Consider the following 25,933-nt stretch of genomic DNA (forward strand, 5'->3'; position numbering starts at 1 on the left):
TGTGACCTCAGACAACTCAACCTTATAAACCTTCAGTTTTCCTCATTCATCAAGAAGACAACACCTGCACACCCATCTAACAAGCTTATTTTGAGCCTTAAATGGAGGGATGGACATATAAAAGATTTTTTATGAACTTTGATGCTCCACACAAAATATGCTTTTACTATTAAAGCAAAGTGAAACATTTGTCAAGATTGAGTTTAATTTGGCATATATAGGTTACTTATACATTGGGTTACATATCTTAGTTGGAGAATATGTGAACATTTGTCCTCTGCCAGTGAGTCCTTCTTTCCCTTGCCATCCTCTACCCACATTTTTGTAAAGGATGTTTTAGGGACCCTGATTTTAGGAGCATCTGCAGCCACAAAGCTGGCATTGGTCCTGTTTAATGTCAAGATCTTGAAAACTCTTTTTTTTGGTAATCAAAGCTATATTAAAGGGCCTTATGTCTTTTTAAAAGCAGATAACCTCTTAAATTCTGTTTTTTTCTTTGAATGTTTTTGCTCAAAGCAAAATGCCCTTCCACTTATACAATATAATTAGATAATTGGTTTATTTGTGGAAGCTTTTTCCTGTGAGCAAGCAGAGGAACCATGTTTATCACAAGGATATCCTGGCTGGCCCGTGTCCTTTGCAACTTGAATACTGAAGCTGTGAATTGTACATGAAATACGATAGTGCCTTAACTTCCTAAATGTTTTTCAGGTGGCGTGTGCAGTAGCTGTTCAAGAGTGGGTTCGTTTTATTGTTTGAAAACAGAGCATTCTCTCACACTTCTTTGTTTTTAATTAGACCACATATTAGTGAATGAAAAACAACAAAACAATAACACAAGTCTCGCTTACCCATACCTCCGTGTTCTGTAGAATAATACATAAATTGCCCAAAGAGTATGTTTTGGAGAATACATAGGAATTTTGACTTGTAAATACTGACTTCTTTCCCTAGACCTTCATATACTGTCTTAGATGTAAATACATTAAAAAATTTTGCTGATACTGGTAAGTTTTATCCTTGTTGGATCTTTGCATAAATGTCATTCTTTTTTTTTTTTTTTTTTTTTTTTTTTTTTTTGGGAAAGGGAGTCTCACTCTGTCGCCCAGGCTGGAGTGCAGTGGCGTGATCTCGGCTCACTGCAACCTCTGCCTCTTGGGTTCAAGCAATTCTCTGCCTTAGCCTCCTGAATGGGTGGGATTGCAGGTGCCTGCCATCACGCCCGGCTAATTTTTTTGCATTTTTAGTAGAGACGGTGTTTCACCATCTTGGCCAGGTTGGTATTGAACTCCTGACCTCGTGATCCACCTGCCTCAGCCTCCCAAAGTGCTGGGATTACAGGCATGAGCCACTGCGCCCAGCCAAATGAAGTTATTCTTAGTGGAGCCTTAAATGTTTGATTTGAGCATTTAATAAGATGTTCCTCACTATTTTGGCCCATGGTAAACTGCCTTCCAGGACCATCTAATAACCCAAAGAGGTAGATGGTGTGTTCTCACTTGTAAACACATGAGGACCCTCAGGTCAGAAGAGGTAGACTGATTTACCTTAGGGTCCCCACACCATATGTAGAGTTAGGCTGTGAATCTTGTCTTCTGATTTCCAACCAGTGTTGACTCTTCACAGGGATTATGTATACCTAATTAGAAGTATGTGTGAACTAAAGTTTGCTCATTAACTTGCTTATTTATTTGCTTTCTCCTGACATAGTTTTCATTTCTAACTAATTTAGAATAGTGGCATGTGGGGGTGGTGACTGCATTAATAGCAGCAAGAACCAACAGCTGACAGCAAGGGAGGAGTGAAAAGCAACTCAACCAGATAATCATGCCAGTTTAGGACTGCTTAGCAAATAGCCCCACACACCCATTAGCTGCAGAGGGTTTCAACTGTAAGAAAGCCCAGAACAATTATATTTGTTGAGCTGACCCCATATTATCAAGAAAAGTTTAAATTATGTTTAGTATATTCTACTTATGAAGGCAAAGGGAGTGGTTTATTTTAAGATTTCCATTTGAACATATTTACCATTAAAAAGAAGGCAATGCCATATTATTTGGAAATTTATTCAACCAGACTCCCAGGTTCTATACTGCATCGCCATGATTGAGGTTAATAGGCATGGATAGGAGTGAAAGGAGTGGCACATGCAGTTGTTTAGACGAACTAGAAACTTGATAAGGGAGACAGAGAAGCAGTGTACCTGTTTAAAGTCACAGGCGTTGAAATAGGTCTATTATGGAACCATATGTTAAATTTGTCTTTTACATTTAATTACATAAGACAATGGAAACTTTTCCTTTTTTCCTTTGAAGCAAAAGAGAAAACCAAACATGTTTTATAGGTTTTTAAAATATATTCTATAAAGGCTTTTTTTGCATTTACATTTTAGAGAGGATTGTGTCAAGGTTTTTGTCTGTCTGCAAATGTGTAATGAATAATATTGTCAATTTAATACAAAACAAGCAAGTAGCTGAATATACCTGAACTGTGATGTGGAAAAATCAAATAGGTGGATCTAAAAGTATATAAAAATTGAGGATGAGGGAAATGTTTTTTCAGTAGCTTTTTTCCTCAGTTAAAAATTAGAAAATGACTTGTAAAAATTATAATGTATAACATTTTAACATCATTTCAAGCACTGAAGAAATGAAATATTCACAGTTTAAGGCATCTATTCACTTTCTACTGAGAGAGAAAATAGATAGGTTTTAATGTTTGTGAAAAAAGTTTTGGATATGGAATAGATGTGTAAAATTTTATTCTGAAGGAATTATTTCTTTCTTACCTACCATGAGAAAGTAGTAGGGGGAGGCCCCTACCTTTGAGACCGTGGAACTGTTTATTGGCCTAAACATACATTATGTTGTGCTTATTGATAAAAGGAGAGACAGAAAAAACATTATCTTTCTGCACGTTTAGTGAGTATTTCCAAAATTACATGCCCACATCATTTTTTTCTATAGTTCCTTTTGTATATTTTTTCCAATAATGCTTATATTTGAGCCATTGTGAAAATCCATTTGTATAACAACCTGGCCTTTGCTTTGGACTTCATTCCTTGTGTTTCAGGTGAGCCAGCCATGAGAGGGTATCTTGTGGCCATATTCCTGAGTGCTGTCTTCCTCTATTATGTACTGCATTGCATATTATGGGGAACGAATGTCTATTGGTAAGTTTCATTTTGTTATTTAAAAATAACTCTCAACCTAGTCTTTCACACAAATCCACAAATTATAGTAGAGGGTCCTATGAAAAAAACTTGTACCATTTTGAATATTTTCTTGCTTTCCATTGTAAATTGGGGTTTTACCATTCCAGTATCCTATAGATTGTATCTCGAACAATTTAAAAGTTGACAAGCAACACCTACTTTCTATTGACTTCCCAGGGAAGCCATGGTGTTAACCATCTTTGGGTTATAACATTCTTTCTTTATGCTATAGATCATCTCCTTGAGTTAATGGCGTAATTACTGGGCTCAGTGGTACTTTTGGAACCTAAAATGCTTGCTTAAGAGATTATTGATAAAATACAGATATTACATATGGTTTCCTTTGTTTAAATATATTTGGTGAACGATGATATATGTATCTTCTGAAATAGCTTTGACTTGAAATACCACATATAAAACTTTGAAGAGGCACAGATAGTTTTACTGAAGAGAAAGCCTCTGTAATAGGGATTTTAACCTTCTCATTGTCAGTCCTTTGGCTAGGAAAAAAGTTTTGATGACCTTTAAATCCCAAGCGGGTGGCAGTACATAATTATGCTAAAATAAATCACATAACTTCCTGTCTTAGACAAAGAGTCAGTATTTTTTGCCAGTGTTTCATAGTACATCTTAGATCATGTTTCTAACTTGTGCTTACTTGATGAAAAAAAGCTGATGCTTCTGCATTTGATTTCATTACTGGTTGATTGAAAAATAATTGTAATGCTTTTCATGGAAGGACGTTAGGCAAATGGCCACTGGAAAAAACCCAATGCCAGGTGGATAGTTTTGGCCCTAAAGTTTTAGGCTTTGGACCCAAATATCGGGCTAGAGAATTTTGAAGTCTGATTATGTACTAAATGAGGACTACATCAAGGGGATCTATCCCTACATCTTTGCCACATTCTCTGTCCTACCCTTAGTAGTAGAAGACAAAAATAGAAGAGAAAGCAAAAAGCTTACTAGATTGCTACTTTCCTACAAATCCTATTGTTGGTCACAGGGAAAATGATAAAGAAGGTGATGAAAAGGATCTAAATCAGCAGTCTTTTGTCATCAGGGTTGAAGTGACCATGTCACTCCTCAGCTAACACATTACTATAGTCACAGCAAGTACCTTGGGATATTAGCTCAGACAGTTGTTTGTGCAATGAACTTGCTTCCTTAAAAATGATTTAAGACATATAATTGTGTTTTTCTTTTAAAAAGTCACCCAAAGGTTGTCTTCACAATATCCTAAAACTGTTTTCTATGTTTTAATGACTTTAGAAATCAAATAATATCTTCATGTTATCCTCCAAATATAATTGAGATTTTTTGGTCTAGTGTGCTGGTCCACCATATTTATGTATCTTCCTTATGTATAAATCAAGGAGTCCTTGCCATTGTGGTATTCACAAAAGATGTTTTCCTGCGTAAGGAGTTTACTAGCCTCACAGTTCAGAAACCTAGCAATTCTAACTATGGGGATTTTGTACCCACAAAAATGGAAAATTGTGTCTGTCCATGAAGGGTTTAGGGTATTTCCTTCATTTTGAATTCTGCTGATTATAGAAGAAAATTGATTAGTTTTTAAATATGAATTCTTCACATAACTGATGATCATTAATAAGTTTTTGTATTAAGCTGTTTTCCTCTTTCCCAGCTAAGTCTGGATCCTGCCATCCACCACCCCTTTCATTTATTTTCCTTGTTGTGCTCTGTCATGTTTCACAATACCCTTTTAAATTGTGGAGACAAGTACTCCATTCAGGAGCACACAAGGGCCTAACTTATGCCAAGAATAGAGAAGAGTTAGAAATGACTCTCAATAGTGTGATTTGTAGAGTCCCCCGGATCCCAAGGCAAGGGTCTATGGAACCTGTTCAGGTCAGGTGTTTCTGTGGTGTTCGCTGCCGGTGTGCGTCAGCAGATGTGGCAGGAGGAGGTAAATAGCCACGTGCCCTTGGGGTGAGTTTCGGTTTCTCCAGCTTTCAGGGACTTCTAAAAAGTGAGCCTGGTTGCAGCTTCTACAATGCAGTAATCCTGGCCCTTCTCTGAAGGTCCTTTGAATCATTGCTCTTGGAATCACTTCTGGGTTGCTCATCACCTCAGCTTTTCCACCCTCCCTTTCCTTACATCCATGAATCTCAGGTGTGTGTAGGGCTTGGAGAAGGTACTGGCAGACCTCAAGAGGTGCAGGGAGTATTTTTGTTTGCTGCCACAGAACCTCTCAGTGGTGGCATGAATGAGTTCCCAGGGCATTTGCTTCCCTTTGGGCAGGGTGCCCGATTCTGGTTTCTGACTGACATTATTTTTGTCTCATAGGGTGGCACCTGTGGAAATGAAACGGAGAAATAAGATCCAGCCTTGTTTATCAAAGCCAGCTTTTGCCTCTCTGCTGAGGTAAAAATATACCAGAAAAACCTGTGGCATACAAAATATTCTAAATGTGCTTGTAATCATTTTCCACACTTGTTTATTTTTTTAATGCAAATCTTAGCAGTATAAAGTGGACACCCCATATTTAAGGAAGAGCTTGAATATCCTGTCTCTTTTTGTGCTTTTAGTCAGAGCTCTGCATATATTTTAAGAAAAGGCATTGAGGAACTCAATCAAACCAGTATTCTTTTCACACAGGTGAGGCTAGAGAGGTCTATTTGTGTTTGATTATAAAAAAGCGAATTGTTCTTTAGGGTTTTATTTTTCCCCCTTGTTGCTCTCATGTTATTTTCCACCCTTATTAATTTGTGGCTTCTCCTTCCTTGCCTCTAGGTTAAACTTTTTGAGTAGAAATTTTCCCTTTTATTAACTTTTAATGAACTACATAGAATGCAAATAATGATTAATCTACATAAAATGTCAATGATTGTTGATTGTGGCTCTTGGGCTTTGTAAAGAATTTACTCTTCTATTCACATATGTTCTTTTCCTCCATCACTTTGACTTTGACAGATTGCTGGTCAAAATGCTCTAGATAACAAGAAATAAAAATCTGTTCAAGGCATGTTTAATTGGGTAAAACAGGCACAATCTGTTCAGCATTTTTTCTATGAAGCATTAAAAATTCATTTTTTTTCCTATTGTCTTTTATTACTGCACCTTGTTATTACTGTTTTTTAACTCTTTGGGGCTACAGATCCCTTTACAATCAATCAACTCTCTGGAAAACTGCAAATACATAAGACTTTTTCGTATATGATTCCAAGTTTGCTATGGCTGCCTGTAGCCTTTCCAGGGGTGTGCGTCCAGTGAGGACCACTGCAAAACTGGAATAGTGTTTTAAACTTTTTTGAACATGACTCAGGAAGAAATACATTTTACTTGGGATCTAGTGCAAACACATATTTATATAATAAGAAAAAAAAAGAATTTTTACCTTTACTACTCCAGATGTACTGTGTTCTGTTCCATTCACTTTTTAAAAAGATGCCGATCGTGACTCACAAAATTGATTTTCTGAGCCACATACGGGTTGCAGACCACAGGTTAAAATGCTACTCTAGAATTAAGGTACTCCATAACTTTAGTGAAAAAAGATATCCTTTCCTTTCTGAGAAAACCCAAAAGGGTTAAAGTATTTATGCAAGATTATTCAGCAATATGTAAGTCTACAGTGTAAGCGACAGGTAGATTTATGTTTATCATGTGGACAGTATTCTCTGAGGGCAGTCCCCTAGAGTGTACTTGAGGCCACTTTCTCAGAAACAGAAAAGCCAGCAGCAATTTGGAGAAGCTCTTCTGGGAAACCTGGAGCTTTTATCTTCAGTGTTATAAAGAGAACATCTTCCCTTATAATTAGGCTTGGGTGTGGATTTCAGCTGTCATTTATGGGATAGTGACCCCAGACTTGTCATAGCTGATACAACTTCACATATATGGTACTTTTAAATTTAGAAATAGCTTAGCATCAGCACTTTTATAATATTACTTTGTTTTTTCCTATATATGGCTATTATTTTATCACTTGCTCTTCGTTTGTTTTTAAGTTTTGTTTTTACTTCCTGAGTTGTAACATAATTTTCATCTTAGTGGCTGCAAAGTGTTTTCATTTCAGTTGTGTAGTTCCATTAAGTACCCCATTCTATGCAATATTTCAGCACGGTTTAAAGTTATTTTTAAAAATTAAAAAAAATTATACATTTTTGTATAGCCAGTATAATGATATGGATTATATGCTGTAGTTACTTTTAGTTTTGATTTTAAAAGCTTGCAAATATAGTAGGTATTTGGCAAAATCATTCTTTATCCTTTCCTTCCAGGTTTCATCAGTTTCACCCTTTTCTGTGTGCGGCTGATTTTAGAAAGATTGCTTCCTTGTATGGTAGCGATAAGTTTGATTTGCCCTATGGGATGAGAACATCAGGTCAGTAGTAGTATTCTTACCTGGTTCTGTTAAATTTGAGTGGTGTTTGATGAGAATGGCATGTTAATATAATTTTAAGGGCTTTTATTCTTTCTGCTTCCTAATGATTTCCAATGGATATGATTTTGGGATGGAATGAAATGAATTACATTTTAAAATATAAATTATCACTCCTTTTGAGGCAGTATAGAACCAAAGGATAACAGGGGTAGATTTGTTGTTGTTGAGAAACTACTTTTTACATTTGCTCTGCCGCCATGTGATCCATGTAAGTTCTGGTGCCTTACTTTATTCTAATTTAGAATTAGCAGGAAAACCTGAGGGTTAGCTTCCTTCCTAGCTTCCCATGGCTTCTTTTTACCTGTGAGTTTTATCTCATCAGCGATTCTTATCTCCTTAAGCAGTCTTTTAATTTAACCAGTGGATATTTTATTTTTGTTAAGTTTAGAGATAATTATTCCATCTTCTAATGATAAAACACTTTCCCTTCTGCTTGTTGATAAGTGATTGGCCCTATATAGCATTAAGTTCTAGATTTTTGAGGGATCATAAAAGCCCAAGGTGACAAGCCTTCAACATTGTGAGTCATATTTTGCTTATTCAACTGATCCTGTGAGGGTGGGGGTTGTATTTTTTTGTTTTATTTTTTATTTTAAAACTATTTTGCAGAGAATTTGAGAATTTAATTGGGTTAAACTTACTATTTCTATTCTAACATCAATTTCAGAATCGTGCTATTTTAAAATTATATGATTGTTTTTCAGATTAAATGTGTTGTTTTTTGGGGAGGTTTTGGAAAGTGTCTTTAGAGCATTTACGATTTTGAATGGGCCTGCTGAAGTAGTGCTGGCTAATTGCAGTTGTATCATTAATTTTTCACAGAATAAATCAATGTGGCCATGCTGGTTGGAAATGGGTTTGTGTGGGAGGGAGTAAGGTGGTTTACTAAGTACTAAAAAGACATGATTATCCTTTTATTCATAACACTCCATTTGTTTTCTAGCGGAATATTTTCGACTTGCTCTTTCAAAACTGCAGAGTTGTGATCTCTTTGATGAGTTTGACAAGTGAGTTTATTTCCTTGCTTCTAGTCTGGCTTTTAGCTTCAGCTAAGCTGGTTCAAAATATGTACCCCAAGAAATGTAAGATGTATTTACTCAGGAAAATTTCATAGCGTTTGTGCATAACCAAAATTTCTAGTAGTAATTTGACACTTAAATACCTATAAAATTAATTTAGACGCTGCATAACTGGTTGGCTCAAAAGTTTGCAGAATCTTGATGATGATCAACACTGGTCCCAAATCAGGACATTTTTAACCTACATTCATTTTTTTCTAAGTTGTTCCTACTTAAGAATTAGTTCACCCCCTGCTAATCAGCTCATGGCTTCCCTTTATAGGCTGTTTCCCATACTTTTCCATGCATCCTCCAAACTACTGATGAGATTCTTTCTGTCTCACTTGTTAAGGAGATTATTAGATTTTGGAAGCAGCTCTCTTCTTTTTTAATCAGAATTACATTTGAAGGACAAATATACTTGCTTTGATGTTTTCTGACTACAAAAGTAATTTAGTTTTTAGACAATTTTGTCATTAAATAACCCCATATAAATTGAATTGCCAAAAATAGACTTCTTCACTGTTGGGCTTATTTTACAGAGGTAGGTTTATTTCACAAAGTTTCAAGCCACACTTTAGAATTTGGCCAGGGTGCCAGTGTGATAATATGGGTAGTCTACAGATGTAAGGCCTCCATTAAAAAGGAAAATGGCAGAACTTACCCTCTTGCCCAAGAGAATAGGAGTGCTATTTTTTGGGTGCAGAGAGTGAGGGTAGTGGATAGAGGTCTGAAAGTGTAGACAGAGTTTGCCATAAGAGCAGCGTTAGATTTTGTCCAGGTTTATCTCATTTTTCTCTGTTGGAGACCAAGATGCTTGACGTGAAGTGTGTATTTGTGTAATGTGTATTGGTTCATTTCAGTTTTTTATAACTTCAAACTATGCCATCAACCTAATCAATTTTAATTTTGATTGCATATCAATAGCAACCATAAATTTTTTCAACCCCCAAATTTATGTAGCTCTGATTTGTAGAATATTGTTTTTTGCAGACCTTTCACATATGTGCTTTATGTTGATTCTCTCTAATTCTGTAAGTTTCTGGAGAAACTGAGGCTAGGCACACAGTTTGTTACACTTGGTAAATGCCAGACCCAGGATGTGAACCTAGATAGTTCAACTCCAGTGCCTGGATGTCTGAGTTAAGAGTAATAAAGGTGGCCGGGTGCTGTGGCTGATGCCTGCAATCCCCCAGCACTTTGGGAAGCTGAGGCGGGCAGATCGTGAGGTCGGAGTTCGAGACCAGCCTGGCCAACATAGTGAAACCCAGTCTCTACTAAAAATACAAAAATTAGCCTGGCATGATGGCGCATGCCTGTAGTCCCAGCTACTTGGGAGGCTGAGGCAGGAGAATTGCTTGAACCAGGGAGGCGGAGGTTGCAGTGAGCCGAGATCCACCACTGTACTCCAGCTTGGGCGACAGAGCAAGACTTCGTCTCAAAAAAAAAAAAAAAAGATAATTGTGAGTCCTTGCAGCAATTATCTGCAAATATTTGTAAAGATGCTTGACTCCATACATGCAAGCTACTGTCAGGATTCTGGAGGCTATATGACTAGAAGTTTTGTTCTTGACTAATTTTTATCTAAGAACTAGACTGTGCTTTATTTAGTTGCTTTCATAACCCCTTGTCCCACAGGTGTTCATCTGTTTGTGTATGCCTCCATCAGGCTAATTTTTCTCTTCTTGCTGCCTTGGTCTTGCTGTTTCCTGCCCCTTTCCTCCTGTCACCAGAATCTCCCCACTCCCCACCATCATGCTAAGTTCATTTCTTAGCATTACCTTTCTTGGGAGAGAAGTAGAGTGTAGCTGGTGAGGAGGGATTGAAAATCATGCTGACTGCAGGAGTCCTTTAGTCTGAAGTTGCCAAGAGTCTGAAGTGAAGTAAATGTATAGTCAGAGACTCTAGATAAAGAATGAATGGCAAATAACCCTGTAGGATCCCCACAGAGGGAGCACAGTGACACATGTTTTGTAACATCACAGATGTTCAGTTAGCATTGCTGAGTTGTGTGTTCGACCTGGGCAAACCTTATCGAGTATTTCAAAAATAGATAAGAATATATTTATGACACTATTATCTTCTATTTGCATAGCACTTTTCAGAGGGGTTCACATGTAGTATTAAATTTTGCCTATATTTTAAGTGAGTCATTCTACCTTTATCATGTGCCCAATGTACAACACATAGGAAAAAACCAACCAGGCTGTGCCTGAGCAATACATTTTTAGTAAACTCCAGAAAGGCAGAATGGACTGAATTGCCTGAATGCTGCCTCTGAGTCAACTTAGTTCCTCAAGTGACCTTATGTAGTTCTCATTTCTCTTCTCAGCCTGGGAATAAAGCTCTAGAAGAAAGATGTCTGAGAACAGTCTTTCTTTCTCAGGCAGAGAATTTAGACTGCCTTTGGCAGGAGAGTCCTCCCTGAGCCCCTGGCTTGTGAATTTGTGAGCTGGGCCCACACGTCCAAGGAGGAAGGTATTGATATTTAGGCTGGCTTGTCCTTCATCATGGGTCTGTAGGTCAGAGAGGAGGAGCTGAGGTAGAAGGGATTACTTTCAAGTTACTTTCCTCCTTTTTCTGCTTTCTTTACTGATATTTATATAATTGCTGGCCTTGCTCTCTGCTCATTTTTTCCTACCTGTGCTCTAGAAGGTGCTCGACGTAGTTTGAGTTATAACAGCTAAGCACATTATTTTCCTTGCTTTTTATTCTCCTTCCATCCTCTTTGTCCCTTCTAGAAAGGGTCAGATGTTGTTGGTGCTGTTGTTTCAAATCTGAATCCTTTAAGATTCTACCAGATATAAGTTGTAGTTTTGTCAGATATCTCGTCCAGCATGTATGATGCCCTCAGTTGGGATAGATTCCACTGTGAATGGGAAAACTCAAAATATCAGTTGTGATTGTAAGAAGGAAGTTCTCCATTTGTCCAGTTTTCATGTAAATGAACTCTGCAGGTAAACTTGCCAGGGCTGGTTCTGTGAGCATCAGGGACCAAGGCTGCTTCTCTATCTTGACGCCACCATTCCTAAATATACAACTTGTTCCTTCTGGTCTGGTATGATGGCTGGAGTTCCACCGATCACGCCTACCTCCCTGCCAGCCAGGAGGAGGAAAGGGCGAAGGGCATACCCCAACCCTTTAAGACATGCCTTCTTCTTAAGGGCATCTCCCAGAAATCCCATATAACACTTCCTTACCTCCAATGATGTGCTGGAACCAGTTGGTACCAACTTGTGAGAGCTGTATCTCTTTGTATTCAGCTCCATATTTAGTGCCATCAAGGTGAAAGCTTGAAATGGCCAAGGTGAGAGTATTCGTACCATGGGAATTGGCAAACATTACAAATCAGGGCTTTGCCCATTCATACTCCTCCCCCTCCCCCAGAACTGATTGTTAAACATTGACTAGCAACCACTGTTTGCATCCCATTGGATAGGACTCCATCACAAGGCCACCCCTAGCTGGAATGTGGACCGGAAAATGTAGTTTGTATTCCAGGTGACTGTGTGCTCACCTTTAAAAGCAAACATGATTTTAACAGATGAAGGAAACAAGATTATTGGGGAACAAATAGCTGTCTTTACCAATATTCTGCATCATTTCCCTGGTCCCCATCTGTTTTTATGCCTGGTCACTTTCAGGATTCTGAAGTCAAATATCTGACTCTGCTCTCTAACAACTGAGTTCAGTGCATCTTTTTTATCTGCTGCTGCTACTGATTTCTCATGGACACAGGCTCTTCTCTTTATTCTCCAAAGCACAGCCAACATAAGGTGACTAAGTTTAACAAACTTCACTGAAGACTGAGGATTTTTTAAGAGAATTGCATCACAGAAAAGGAATACTAAAAATATGGCCATATTCCAAGGCCCTAATCCTTCCTGGCTGTCCATGTAGCTCCTCAGCACCAGTCTGCCCCCTAGTCCTAAGGATTATTGCTTTCTCCTCAGTGGAAGTACATCCTCACACAGCTAGAAACAGCAGCAACCCTAAATGATCAAATCTCAGCTCCCACTTAAAATGCACAGACAAGCTCCCCATCCCCAACCACCAACATTCCTTCTGAAAGCATGCCAAGTTTTATGAAGAATGCTTTAGTCCTGCAGCACAGGTGGTTATATAGTAACTAGACATAAATATCTTACCTGACTAAAGCACCTGTGTCAAGTCAGTTGCCTGCTAAATGGACAAGGATTTGTAAAAGCTGCCTGGTTGCTCTCTCAAGCAGCATCCATTATGTCAGCATCAGCAAAGCTGGGTTAGATTGACTACCAGCCAGGCCAGGAGCATGTCTTTAGAAAACTTAAAAAAGAATTAGACATTAGTGGTGTATTTATTGAAAAAGAGTCCTAACTCTAAACGGAATATCAATATCTGCCTCCCTACTTTAGACATTCTGCTGTTTTGCAGAGTTTCTTTACATTGCAGGATTTTTAGCAAGGAGAGCTTGAGGATGAGGGGAAGTTGCGATTCTACATCAACAGAGTGAATCATTTGTGGTGAATATGCAGAAGCAGCCCCTGCCTGCTTTCTAGCATCGGCTGTGGTCAGATGTTGGGTAAAGGTATAGAAGTCTCAGTACTTTTGCCAAAGGAAATGGTCTCTTCCATCAGAGAGTAACATACAAGACCTAAGTGATTCCCTTACTTCACAAAAGAGCAAACCGAGATCAGAGAGGTCAGATTACTACACCAAGGTCCTAAGAGGTGCTAAGCGGAGGAGCCAGAACTAGCAACCAGGTCTCCAACTACAGTTCCTTGTGTAGTTTGAGGATCTCCTGGCTGCAAGTAATAGTCTTCACTAGGAGTGATTTAAACTACGTGGACATTTATTATCTCCTGTATTGCGTAGACATGTGGATTCAGGTCTGCATATTTGTGGTTCCAGCTTGCAGTGTGGGGCTGCTTATGGCTGTACAGACTGTGGATTGCACAACTCCAGGGAGTACCGATTCATTCATATAGTTATCTGAATGGTGCTCCCGGACATTGGACTGTGTACAACTTGCACATATGTTTGGAGTGGCCCTGGTTGGGGGATTGAGTTAGTGGCTCAGTGATGTCAAGGCTCCAGGGTAGTTTTTCTGTGGCTGTCTTTTTCTCTGATGTGTAGCTGCTCTAACTTTTTGTTATCACGTGTCAATGTCTAAGCAGAAAGGAAGAAGTGAGTAATGAAGTATCCTGTTCACATGATTCTTTTGGCAGCAGCAAAATCTCTTCCAAAAGCATCTAATAGACTTCCCTAATATCTTATTGCCCAGGGATGGGTCACATGGCTATGTCTAGATGAAACATTGGCAGAGACAATGAGCTCACTATTATAGGCTTAGGAAAGCAGGGATCTGCTAGCAAGGCACATGGGGTAATGGGTGTTGGGAATGTGAGTGGTATGATTTGCCATAGATTGTTACACTGAAGGTAGAGTCATGTATTTTAATGTACATGATGGTATTGAAGGGAAAATGCATGTCAAAAAGCATTTGTAAAATAAAACACATCATAGATCATTTGAAATGGGCAACTCAAGTTTGCTTGCTCTATATTGATTGTGTTTAATGTTTCCCTCTGCATAAGGTAATGACTCTTCCAGCTTTTGCCTGACTTTATGAGAAACACAGCTTTCACCTGGGGGAAGTGTAATCTCTTACTACCACTGCTTTAGCAGCTTTCCAGATTTCCATTAACAGGTTCCAAAACAATTATTTTGTTTTCTGGGTAAGCAGTTTAGAGCATACGCATTTTCCTCCGTGTTTCCAGGGTGGTTGGAGGAGTAAAAAGTAATTCCTTCTCCAAACACAAAGTAGGGAAATAACCTCCATATACTTAATGTAACAACCAAACTGAATTCTAAAATGCACAGCCTGTGAATCAGGAAGTGTTGTAGATGGGAGGATACAGAGATATAAATGATACTATTCTTTCCTCTAGGGACTCACAATTTACTGCAGCTATTTCTACATGAAAGTTATGTTAATTAAATATGTGAAGTTTTACAGTCACCCAAAGGACACTGAAAGTCATTGTTCCACACATAAAAAGGCAGAGGAAGCCAGAATCACAAGCCAAATGGATGAAGTCAAGGAGAGAATGAATCAGTCCTTTCAGAGTATGGGGTACTTGCTAGAGAGTGAGGGAAGCAATGAGTAACGAGGAGTGCGATTCAGACAGCTTATCTGTACCATTCCATACTTCCCAGAGCCATGGTGGTACTATGAATACTAGCTGTAGATAAAGTGTTATTGCCAAAGAGTAGTCCTAGGGATGCCCTCAAAAGAGTTTCTATGTGATTTTCAGAAAAATGCGTAAATCTTTGCAATATCCTTTACCAGGAGGAAAAGTGGACTTTCATTGATAAGGTTTCCTTTCAAAAGCATTGGCATGATTTCCTATAGTAAAGGCCCTTCTCTCTTTCTGTTTGTCCCCTATAAGCTGACAGGAAAAAAAAGTAGAATGAAACTCCTAAAAATATGGTGACGTAGAGCTGCAAAGAATCTTTGGAATGGGCGTTCTAAATGAGGCAATGTCTATGTTATTTCTTCCTGTTTTTTAAAAGTCCTTGAACTGCTGGGACCATAAGTAGGAGAGGCTGAGTATGAGGAATTGCCCTGCAGAAGAGATCTGCCTGAAACCCTAGACCCCTCTTTTTTCTTGGCTTATAGGGTATGTGGGTGGAGGTCCAGGACCTTGAGTCTGAGTGATGACCAGTGATAATGGCACATGTATATGACAGATGGTAGCTACTCTTACCATGATACTCTTTGGGCCACGCATTATCTAGGGCTTGATGACCATCTGTAACTCAGTGTGATAGAGTGGAAACTTCTGTGAACACTAAGGTCTAAGCTATCAGTTCATTGTTGAGCAATGTTATATAACTGACCACGTCTAAGACTGAGCTCAGTCAATCCCATTACTGGGTATATACCCAAAAGATTATAAATCATTATACTATATAGACATTATACTATATAGACTTTATACTACATGCACATGTATGTTTATTGCAGCACTGTTCACAATAGCAAAGACTTGGAACCAACCCAAATGCCCATCAATGATAGATTGAATAAAGAAAATGTGACACATAGACACCATGGAATACTATGCAGCCATAAAAAAGAATGAGTTCATGTCCTTTGCAGGGACATGGATGAAGCTGGAAACTATCATTCTCAGCAAACTAACACAGGAACAGAAAACCAAACACTGCATGTTCTCACTCATAAGTGGGAGGTGAACAATGAGAACACGTGGACACAGGAAGGGGAACATCACACACTGGGGCCTGTCGCAGGGTTGGGGGCTAGGGGAGGGATAGCATTAGGAGAAATACCTAATGTAGATGATGTGTTGATGGGTGCAGCAAACCACCACGGCACTTGTATACTTATGTAACAAACCTGCACGTTCTGCACATGTATCCCAGAACTTAAAGTATAAAAAAAAAAAAAAATAGACTGAGCTGAGTAACCTTTCTGGGGTCAACTTCAGATATTTGGCTTGTTGTTCAGGAGTCTTTTGTAGAGGACAGGGGCTCTGGTGGTATGCTGGTGGCTTGTTGGCCTTTGCCCCTGCATGTTCCATGTAGGTGGAGTCAGGTAGCCCAGTGTCAGACTGGGAACTCCAGGCCAGGATGGATGCAGGAGCCCCTGAGGCACCTGGGCTCAGGGCGAGGCAGCCCCTTTTCTTGACAGAGGATTGGCCTACAGCCTTCATTGAATGGAGAGGATTAGACTAGATACCATCTATAGATATTCCCCCTCTACCCCTATGCAGGTTATCTCATGGGAACAGCTGTTATTTCAATCTTGTCTTAGCCATGCCTTCCCCAGTGCCCAGCCTTGCTTAACATTCCTAGTGGAGATGGAGCCAGCTTTAGGAGGTGTAGCCTCTGATCTGAATTAAACTGACCCTGAGGTTATGGAAAGGGCAAGCAAGCTGGGAGTGTGAGAATCGCCCCCTCCTATAGCATATTCATGGGATGATTTGGGGAGGATAATGGCAATAATACCCTGAGAGGAAAGGGTTTTGAATATTCAGCAGCTCCCATCTCAGCCATACTACATGGCCCCACAGCAGAGAGCCTTTGATAAAGTTGGCTTTCTAGAATAGGGATTGAAATCAAACTTGCTTGTAAAAGCATCTAGAGTTATGTTACTTTCTTATTTAGAAACAGAGAGCCCAGGACCATGAGGCTTCCGCCTGCTGGACAGCAAGGACTTCCAGTAGCTTCTCAGCTGTTTTCCCAGTCACTTTCAGAAGCAAGGCTGCTATAGCTAATTGATGTATGCAAGATGTAATTACAGCCATTGATAGGGAAAATATCAGCAATATGATGCCCTTGGAAGCTCAGAAAAAAGTCAAAAGGCTGTACCATGACTCTCACAATAGCCAGATCTGAATATAAAATCTAGTCTCTTCTGGTGATGGAGAAAAGGAAGTGTCATCCATACAAGATGAATTTACACTCTGAACCCCAGGAGGTCCTGCACGTAGGAAGTGCCTACAATCCAAGTACCATGCTCTTTACTGCCTCTCCTGCTTCCAGCACTGTCCCTGGGGTCATCCAAACCAGTACAGTAACCCAGCTGGCCTCTCTTCTGAAAACATCTCCAACTTCAACAATACTTTGAGATACCATATTGCTGGTATTTCAAAAACTGCTGCCAGCAGGGAGGAGGCCAATGGCGTGTCCATAGATCATGTTCAGCCTCCAAGTGGTCTCATAATCAACAAAGAATCTGAAGTTTACAAGATGCTTCAGGAGAAACAGGAGTTGAATGAACCCCTGAAACAGTCTACCTCTTTCCTGATTTTGCAGGAAATCCTGGAGTCTGAGATAAAAGGGGATCTCAACAACCCTCAGGATTCAGAAGTGTTACTCAGCTCAGTCTATTACTCAGTGGCTGCATCAATTGGAAATGCTCAGAAGGTGCCCATGTGTGACAAATGTGGTCCTGGCATTGTAGGCATGTTTGTAAAGCTGCGGGGACCATCATCCCCTCCCTGAATGTTACGTGTGCACTGATTGTGACACTCACCCGAAAGAGAAGGGCTTTTTTTTTTTTTTTTTCCATCAAATCTACTGTGAAGAGCATGCCCAGGAGCAAGTCACACCACTTGAGGGTACGATGTGGTCATCATGTTCCCCAAGTGATCCAGCAGACCTGCACTGACCACCGTTCTCCAGCCAGCCTCTGCTGCAGCTAGTTCTCTAAATGTTCTGGCCTTGTCTCTTGAAAGTTCTGTACTTATTCCCCCACCCCACAACCCGCTTACCTTGGTTTTATCCCTGCTCATTGAACCTTGAGTCCCTTGTCTTGGTTAACTGACTCACACTGACTGTGTGGTGCCCGCCCACTTTTACAATGAATGGCAAACTGTTTTTGTTCAGTGTCCCCTTGCCGGCAACACTGTGTACCTTCCTCCCCTCAGTTCTTCTCTGCTGCAAATGGACATCAGCCACATTTGAACCAAATCAAATATAATATGTCTGACATTGATTTCATTTTTGCTCCATCTATAGACTCCCAGAAAAAAGAAATAAAAAAAATGCAAAGAAAATTTAAATGAACAAACAGACCCTTCTGGAACCTACTGTGACATGAGATGTGTCCACAAGGCGAGGTTTCAGGCACACACTGAAGGAGCATCTGCTGGACAGCCCTCCCCGCCCCCAAGTCCTTACCAACCTGTGCCACTGGTACTTATTTTTCTTGACTGATTAGGTAGACACTGATTTAGGCATGACTCTTTAATATTTGAGAGCATAGAGCTTCCAATTAAAATATGTTAAAAGTATTTTTTAAATTTTAAACCTTACAATCAGATGAACTGTACTACTCAAAAAAGGTAAATTTAATGAATATAGGAGTGTGTACATCATCTCCTGTTTACCTGACAAAGCCAATGCTTGGCTCTTTTAAACAGTTTCCGAATTCTCACATTCTCCATGTTTCTGGGTTCTACAGTGTTTGTACAGTTTTGCTACTCATTGATTTCCTAAAATCCTTAAGGTCTTGAGTTCATCTGGTCTGCTGATTTCACGGGTCTTAGGGAAACAGTGTTCTCTTTAGACTTTCCATGCCATGAGGGCCCTGGAAGGATAGCCTCAACAACTTTCCCTTCTGTGGTTTTGTTCCCTAGCGGGCAAGGACACAGTCTATTTTGTCATTTCTCCAGGCCTGCCTGGGTGAGGGTAAGAGCTGGGAGAGAGATGGACCAGCAACACGAAGTTCCCCTTTGTGTTCTACTTTAAAGCTGTTTGCCAGGAACACCGCGTGAACTTTTAGTTTGTATTGGTTAAGCTCCAAGGACCAGTCCATGTTTGAGAAATTGAAGTGAGCATGGGCAGGGTACAGAAAACTGCACTTTTCTCACCAGATTCCAAACTGTCCATCTCCACACTTGTGCAGCAGAGAGCCAGAGGTAGAATCTTCGAGGAGTGGGTAATGCTGGCAAAGAATGTAGACCTGCATAATGTAAAACACAAATGCAGAGTCCTATATGGAGGTGTGTTTCACAGTCTCAAGTTCTGGATCCACATGCTAGTTCCACTTTGGAGTATGACTTTAAAATGTTACATAATAGATTTCTGAACCTCTTTCTTCATTTGTATACTGGGAATATCAGGCTTACTTATCTCAATAGGTGGGTATGAGAATCAAATGAGAGAACATGTATGGGCTGATAATAGTTGCTGACAATGATATGCTCTTCCTATAGAATGTTACTCATTGAATCTTGTATCTTTTTAATACAGCTCTAGACTTGTAAGTCGCAGTTGGTTCTTTTTCTACTTGCGCAACAAGTGGAATTTGGCACTGGGTTTCTGACAGTATGCATGGATTCTTGGAATCAGTTTTGTAAAAGATGGCTCAATCTCTCACTTGTCCATCTGTCCAACAGCATACCCTGTAAAAAGTGTGTGGTGGTTGGTAATGGAGGAGTTTTGAAGAATAAGACATTAGGAGAAAAAATCGACTCCTATGATGTAATAATAAGGTAAATATATTTTCTATTTGCTACCCTAGAATTGTTTCAAAAGAATATGGTTTCTTGCCTTAATACAGCTGTGTTTTGACAGGAAGGGGAGATGTTTCCATTTGGTTTTTTTTTTATTGCACAACCTTCTCTCTTGGTTGTTGGCTAGAGTTAGACCTAGATTTCAGGTTACTCATTTAGCAAGTATTTGTTAAGTCTCCTTAGTGTGCTAGCATGCTTCTAGCCACAGGAGAGATAGCAATGGATAAGAACAATGTTTGTGCTCCCTGTGGAGGGAAGAAAATGAGTAATTAAATATATAAAAATAATAAATGCCATACATAATTTAAAAAGGATATAACAGAGAATCTTTGAATGGCTCCTTTGTAATGATTGACCACTTTGAGAAAGAGACATCTAAGCAGGGCCCAAGTGACCACACAGCAACAGCCATATGAAGATTATGGTAGAGCAGTCCAGGCAGAAAGGATGTTTGCTGCAGGGCCTCAGGAGGAGATGATCCTGAGTTTGAGAGGAGTAGCAAAGAAACCCAGTGAAGCTGGAAAGTAGCAGGCAGGGGGAGAGTGGTGGAATTGGAAGCTGAAGCGGTGAGCAAAGATCAGGCTGCATAGGACTTTGTAAGCTAGGATTAGAAACTTGGATTTTAAGTGCAACAGGAAGCTTTTTAAGGGTTTTAAGCAAGAGAACAAAGCAGTCTGGTTATGTCTTAAATATTCTGGCTGTGGCATGGACAATGGAATGTGGGGGACAAGGGTGGAAATGAAGAGGCCAATTAGGTTGCTGTATTCGGGTATAATATGATGGTGGCTTGGGACAGGATTGTTGTAGGAGAGGAAGAGATATGTGGACTGACTGAAGATGTGTTTTAGACATAGAGTTATCGGGATTTGTTGCCGTATTAGATGTGAAGAGTAATGAGAATAAAGAAATCAAGGATGCCTCCTACTCTGTTTTCAGCTTAGGAGATTGGCTGGAGAGTGGTATCATTTATTAAGTTGGGGAAGACTGGTATAGGAGCAGGTTTAGAGGAAAACCATGATATGAACATGTTAGATTTGAGATGCTTGTTAGATTTGCAGTGGGTTTGTCGAGTAGGCAGTTGGATAAACAGGTTAAAATCTTGATGGTGTGTGGCCTATAAGCTGTATTTAAACCATGGACTGGGTGAGATTTCCCAAGGAGAGACTGAGAGAGAGAGAAGAGAGTGAGGACTGAGCCTCAGAGAACTCAAAATTTAGAGGTTGAGCAAAGAAAAAGGAATGTGTAAAAGAGATGAAGAGGATCCACCAGTGAGGTAAGAAGAAAATCGGGAGAAGGTGATCACAGAAGCCAAGAGAGCAAAGTGTTCCAGGACAGAAGGAGTGACCAACTGTATCCCAGTGCTGGTGAGAGGTCATGCAAGATAAGGACAGAGTGGTGACCATTGGACTGGTGACCTGAGGCTCATTGACACTCCCAATAAAAGCAGGCTTAGAGGCGTGATGTGGCAAGAAGCCCGGCTGGACTAGGTCGAAGAGGGAATGCAGAGAATGTACACCTGAATGTACAGATGAAGATGTAGAGAAACCAATGTAGTCCAGGGATTTTGCTTCAAAGAGGAGTTGAGAAATCAGATGGCAGTTAGAGATGGTTATGCAATCAGGGTTTTTTTTTTGTTTGTTTTCTTCTTTTGAAAAGATTGGAGGCACTATAGTACATTGGTTAACTGGTGGAAATGAGAAAGAGATTGGGGTGGTAAAAGAGAGGGGAAGGGGGTTCAGAACACAAGTGTGGTTAATGTTTCATAATGGAAAGGAGAGCCAGGATTGTGGTTACAACTACCAAGAGTCCCTCTGATGTAGTGAGGGGAAAATACGGACCTTTCTATCTCTATTTTTTTAGTGAAAGGTCAAGATAAGGTCATCATCTGGGATAAGTGTGTGTGTGTGTGTGTGTGTGTGTGTGTTAGGAGTAGCTATGAATAGTTTAAAGAATGGCAAAGTTAGCATACTGAGGCAATACATTAGGATGGTTTGGCAGCTTTGGGGGTTTTGTGGGGTTACAAGCTGCCTAGGGTTTCTGCATGGTGAGGTCACCTTATTTTCTGTTTACTATCCATTTTGAGGAAGCTGTGATAATTTACCTACAAAACAATTTTGAAGCAATCACAGGTTTCTCTACCCATAATTGTCTAAATCTGATAATTTAGAGCCACAGGAAACCCTTGCAGGAAAATATCATGGGTACAACATTTTGAAAGTCATCTCAAGTGTTAATAAGTCTGTTCGTCTTATATTACGTAGAGTCAGTAGCAAAGGGCAAAACAGTATTTATCTCTTTGGGGACACTGTTTTGGAAACAAAGCATTTCTTTTTTTATAGCATGGCTTCATAATGTGTGCATAAATAGTGCATGTCCAACCTTGGCTTTCAGCATACACAAACCCAACAGTAGATCCTTTGTGGTTCTTTAGTTTACTCTAGCAATAGACATTCATTTGGTTGTGCTTGAATATAATATAGCAGATTTATATTGTTAACCTTATTTCAGAGTACAACAATTTTGATGGGTCTTTAAACCAACTTAAATGTGATTCTTCTTACCTGTCAGTCACACACATCCATGTGCTACATGACTGTGTGGCTTTGAGCAAGTAATTTTCTCTCCAGGGGTTTGTCCTCCAAGTTCTCTTTCAACTCTGGTATCCTGTGGCTCTGTGTTCCCACTTTTTTAAATTTAGTCTTCAGTTCCCCTGGAGGTAAGACTGAATTATCATTGGCTCCACAATTAATTTTCAAATACAAATGAACATTTCTGCCTTTGATCAACCAACTATTTCATGAAAAGGAATGATCTCCTTGGCCATTATGTGTGAAAGATTGATCTATTGCTTTGTGGCTTCAGAGCACAGGATAAAAGGCTGATGTTTGTCCAACTCTGAAACCTCTGAGAACTGTGATGGGAATGGCAGATACTGCACTTGGTCTACATATCTTGTATGTTTTACTATCCACAGAATGAATAATGGTCCTGTTTTAGGACATGAAGAAGAAGTTGGGAGAAGGACAACCTTCCGACTTTTTTATCCAGAATCTGTTTTTTCAGATCCTATTCACAATGACCCTAATACGACAGTGATTCTCACTGCTTTTAAGCCACATGATTTAAGGTGGCTGTTGGAATTGTTGATGGGTGACAAAATAGTAAGTAGGCAAAATTGTTCTGCCTTCAGATTACCTTTAGTGCTTTTTTTCCTTAAAAAACAGACAGCCACACTGTTCTATTCTCTATATTTTTTACTTTCAGAACACTAATGGTTTTTGGAAGAAACCAGCCTTAAACCTGATTTATAAACCTTATCAAATCCGAATATTAGATCCTTTCATTATCAGAACAGCAGCTTATGAACTGCTTCATTTTCCAAAAGTGTTTCCCAAAAATCAGGTATGTATTTATCTCTGCATGGTTTCAAACTACAGATCTGGCTGAGGTAGGATAGAGGGTCCTGGGAACTCTCAGAAACTGTATGAGAACCACAGCTCATGAGATGATTTCTGAGGGCCATCTCTGAGTTAGTAAAAGTAGTTATCTATGGATATTATCTTTATGTTTTTCATTTATGTTGCAAGGAAATGTAATTTTAAGTTGGGTTTTTTTCCTGCCCTTGTAGGGCCTTCCTGGGGTCTCTTTGTGCATGCCGAAACAATTTATCTTTCATAACTCTGTCTTCAGTGTTCTGCAGTGAGGAGAGTCTGACTGGGTGGGCTGACGGGCAGGCTTGTGCTCAGAGTAGCTGGCCTGGCTTCAGGCCAAGTGCATGGCTTTGCAGGCTAAAAAGAAGTGTCTGAGATGCTCTGATAAAAATATCACAGGAAAGCCAGAGGAAAGGTGAGGAAGGACAATAAAGTAGTCCAGAAACATTTCTGTGGTCAGAGGAAATGTTGGCATTAAATTCTCAAGAAATGGTAGCTACAGCAATATTGAAAGAGTTCTTGAAACTTCAAAATGAAATCTCATTGACTTTCACTCCTGTTTGCCTTCTTTCCCTAGAAAACAATACTCTAGACCCATACAGTGGCAGAGATATTTTTTACTGGAAGCTTGAGTAACTGTATAACATGACACCTTGGTTGAAATGAGTTTTTCACCCCTTTTTAAAGTAGGGAAAAATCCAAAGAAATAAATATACATCATGTATTTTCATGATGTATATTTAGCATGATAAGAATTGTGATTAAGAAATTCAAAAGTGTTATATGCTGAAAACAAATGTTAGTGTTGCACACTGAAATAAAGGAATATTAAAAATCAAAAAGGAAGTCACCAGTCTATTCTCTTCCCTCTACAACCCATGTAACCTCTCAAGCTTTTCTACCTTTTATGTGCTTCCAGACTATTTGCTATGCATTCATAAACACATAATCTTTTTGTTTGTTCAGTATAATTATGATTATACCATAGGTATTGTTGTTATTTTCTTTTTTCTCTTTATTTAACTCTTCCCCTATTTATAGACACTCAGATATATCCAACATTTTCTTCTCTTTAAATAATATAGCAGTACATGTGTTTATAGGGGTTTTCTGCCCATTTGTCGGATTTCTGTAGGATGGACTTCTGGAAGTGGAATGCTCAAGTCAAAAAGCATACATGTTTTAAATTTAAACCTGACTTCCTAGTAATTTTGAGGGTAAAGGACAGCTTCTGAATGTGTGTTTTGTGAGTTTTCACTTCCTATATTCCTAAGTGAAGTATGATCAGGTATATCTCTTGCTTCTTCATTTTAGGTAATATCTTTAATTCCAAAAGCACAGGAAGACCCTGAGCATACTTAGTGATGACATTAGAACTAGCTGTAGCTACATCAAAGTCCCAGTAGGACATGGTGTCCCAGAAATCAAATGCTGTATTTCAAGAGAAGTCAGCCATGTCAGATGCTGTCCAGAGGTTGAATGTAAATAATAAACCCTGGTTTTAGAAACGTGGAGGTCATATTGGTGATATATATTAACAAGAAAGAAGGAAAAAGCCTGCTTGAATTGGGTTGAAGAGAACCTGGGACATGAGCAAGCAGCAACAAATCTTTAGTGGACTTTTTGCTAGAACAAGGATCGTAGAAATGAAGCAATAGTTGGAAGATGATATAGGATCGAAGAAGCGTGTTTTATTTTTGGTCTGTGTATATGCTGAAGGGAATGGTTCAGCAGAAAGAAACACTGATGATGAGGGGAGAAAGTAGTTAAGTACAGAAGTAAAATTGTTGAGAAGTGATATGGGATAAAATATACACTAGTGAAAAGTTGCTGAAGTTACATCTCATCCATTATAAGAGGAATAAGCACTGCAAATGTGAGTAAAGATACAGGTAAGATGGTAGATTTGGAGTTGGGATGATGAAGCCACTCTTTTGACTGCTTTTGTTTCCTTAAAAAAATAAAGATTAACTAGTCAAATTAGGAAGAAGACTAGGGCTGTTGCAGGATACAAAGTTATAAATTCTCATCTTGGAGAGTAGGAATGGAAATTTACTAGTCAAACGTAACTGGATTGCTAGGCAATACTTACTGCCTGTTTGAGAGTTGGGTCATAAATTCAACATTCAACCAGGTAAACGTATTTTTCTCTTGCCCTATTCTGTTGCTGGGGTGTGGGTACAGGGTGACTGCAGTGCTTATTCCTCTTATAAGAGTTTGTCAGGTGGTAATATAGGTTCTGTGGGTGATGGCTGCAGAAGAGCTGGTCTATATAAAGGAATGGTTATAAAGACGGATGAAGGACTCTTAAGATGTGAAGAAAGGAAGTAGAAGACATGAAAAGGGGCAAGGAGAAGGAAAAAGCAATGGGATCAATGAGGCTGAATGACTCCTAGGTTACAATGGTACATAGGATAAAGAAAATTTTATGCTGAAGGCAGTTAATGCTTTCGGACAAGTTTGCCTCCTGGAATTGATTTGGTTGTGCTTCTTCGATTTTTTTTTCTTTTCCTCAAAATCATAGTAAGTCATATGTAATTTCAATGGGAACTATAAGAAACACTTTATTGAAAGTGTTATGTAAAAAGCTTAAGATGTATCTTGTTTTTCGCTTTGAAGGCCATCTCAGTGAGAATTACAATTTCTGAAAGCCAAGACCCTCTTGTCAAATATCTATCACACTGGTTTTCAAGATATATGTAAGATAAGGAAAGAGGATGCTTGGTTTTTCTTTCTAAAAGTATAATGGTGCAGCTGAGATTGTGATATTGCTATGTATGCATTTGGAATATTTATTT

General features: G+C 39.3%; 1 protein-coding gene and 1 pseudogene across 18 annotated transcripts in view; both read left to right on the plus strand.

The window, feature by feature from the left end:
* ST3GAL6 (ST3 beta-galactoside alpha-2,3-sialyltransferase 6) overlaps positions 1 to 25,933 on the plus strand; it is a 63,591-nt gene that overhangs the window by 33,096 nt on the left and 4,562 nt on the right. For 7 of the 18 annotated variants that reach the window (NM_001323352.2, NM_001271146.2, NM_006100.4 and 4 more), the window contains 7 exons: positions 3,073 to 3,172; positions 5,522 to 5,599; positions 7,456 to 7,559; positions 8,563 to 8,626; positions 19,588 to 19,683; positions 22,679 to 22,865; positions 22,969 to 23,106. In NM_001323352.2, coding sequence (NP_001310281.1) covers positions 3,084 to 3,172; positions 5,522 to 5,599; positions 7,456 to 7,559; positions 8,563 to 8,626; positions 19,588 to 19,683; positions 22,679 to 22,865; positions 22,969 to 23,106 — 756 coding nt within the window. In that variant the 5' untranslated portion in view covers positions 3,073 to 3,083. Of the gene's footprint in view, positions 1 to 3,072; positions 3,173 to 5,521; positions 5,600 to 5,763; positions 5,834 to 7,455; positions 7,560 to 8,562; positions 8,627 to 17,500; positions 17,612 to 19,587; positions 19,684 to 22,678; positions 22,866 to 22,968; positions 23,107 to 25,933 lie in introns of all 18 variants that reach the window. The other 11 variants (NM_001323362.2, NM_001323353.2, NM_001323364.2 and 8 more) reach the window with 6 other exon arrangements.
* PDLIM1P4 (PDZ and LIM domain 1 pseudogene 4) lies at positions 16,856 to 18,033 on the plus strand (annotated as a pseudogene).

This window comes from Homo sapiens, chromosome 3, assembly GCF_000001405.40.
Source record: "Homo sapiens chromosome 3, GRCh38.p14 Primary Assembly".
Lineage (NCBI taxonomy): Eukaryota > Metazoa > Chordata > Mammalia > Primates > Hominidae > Homo > Homo sapiens.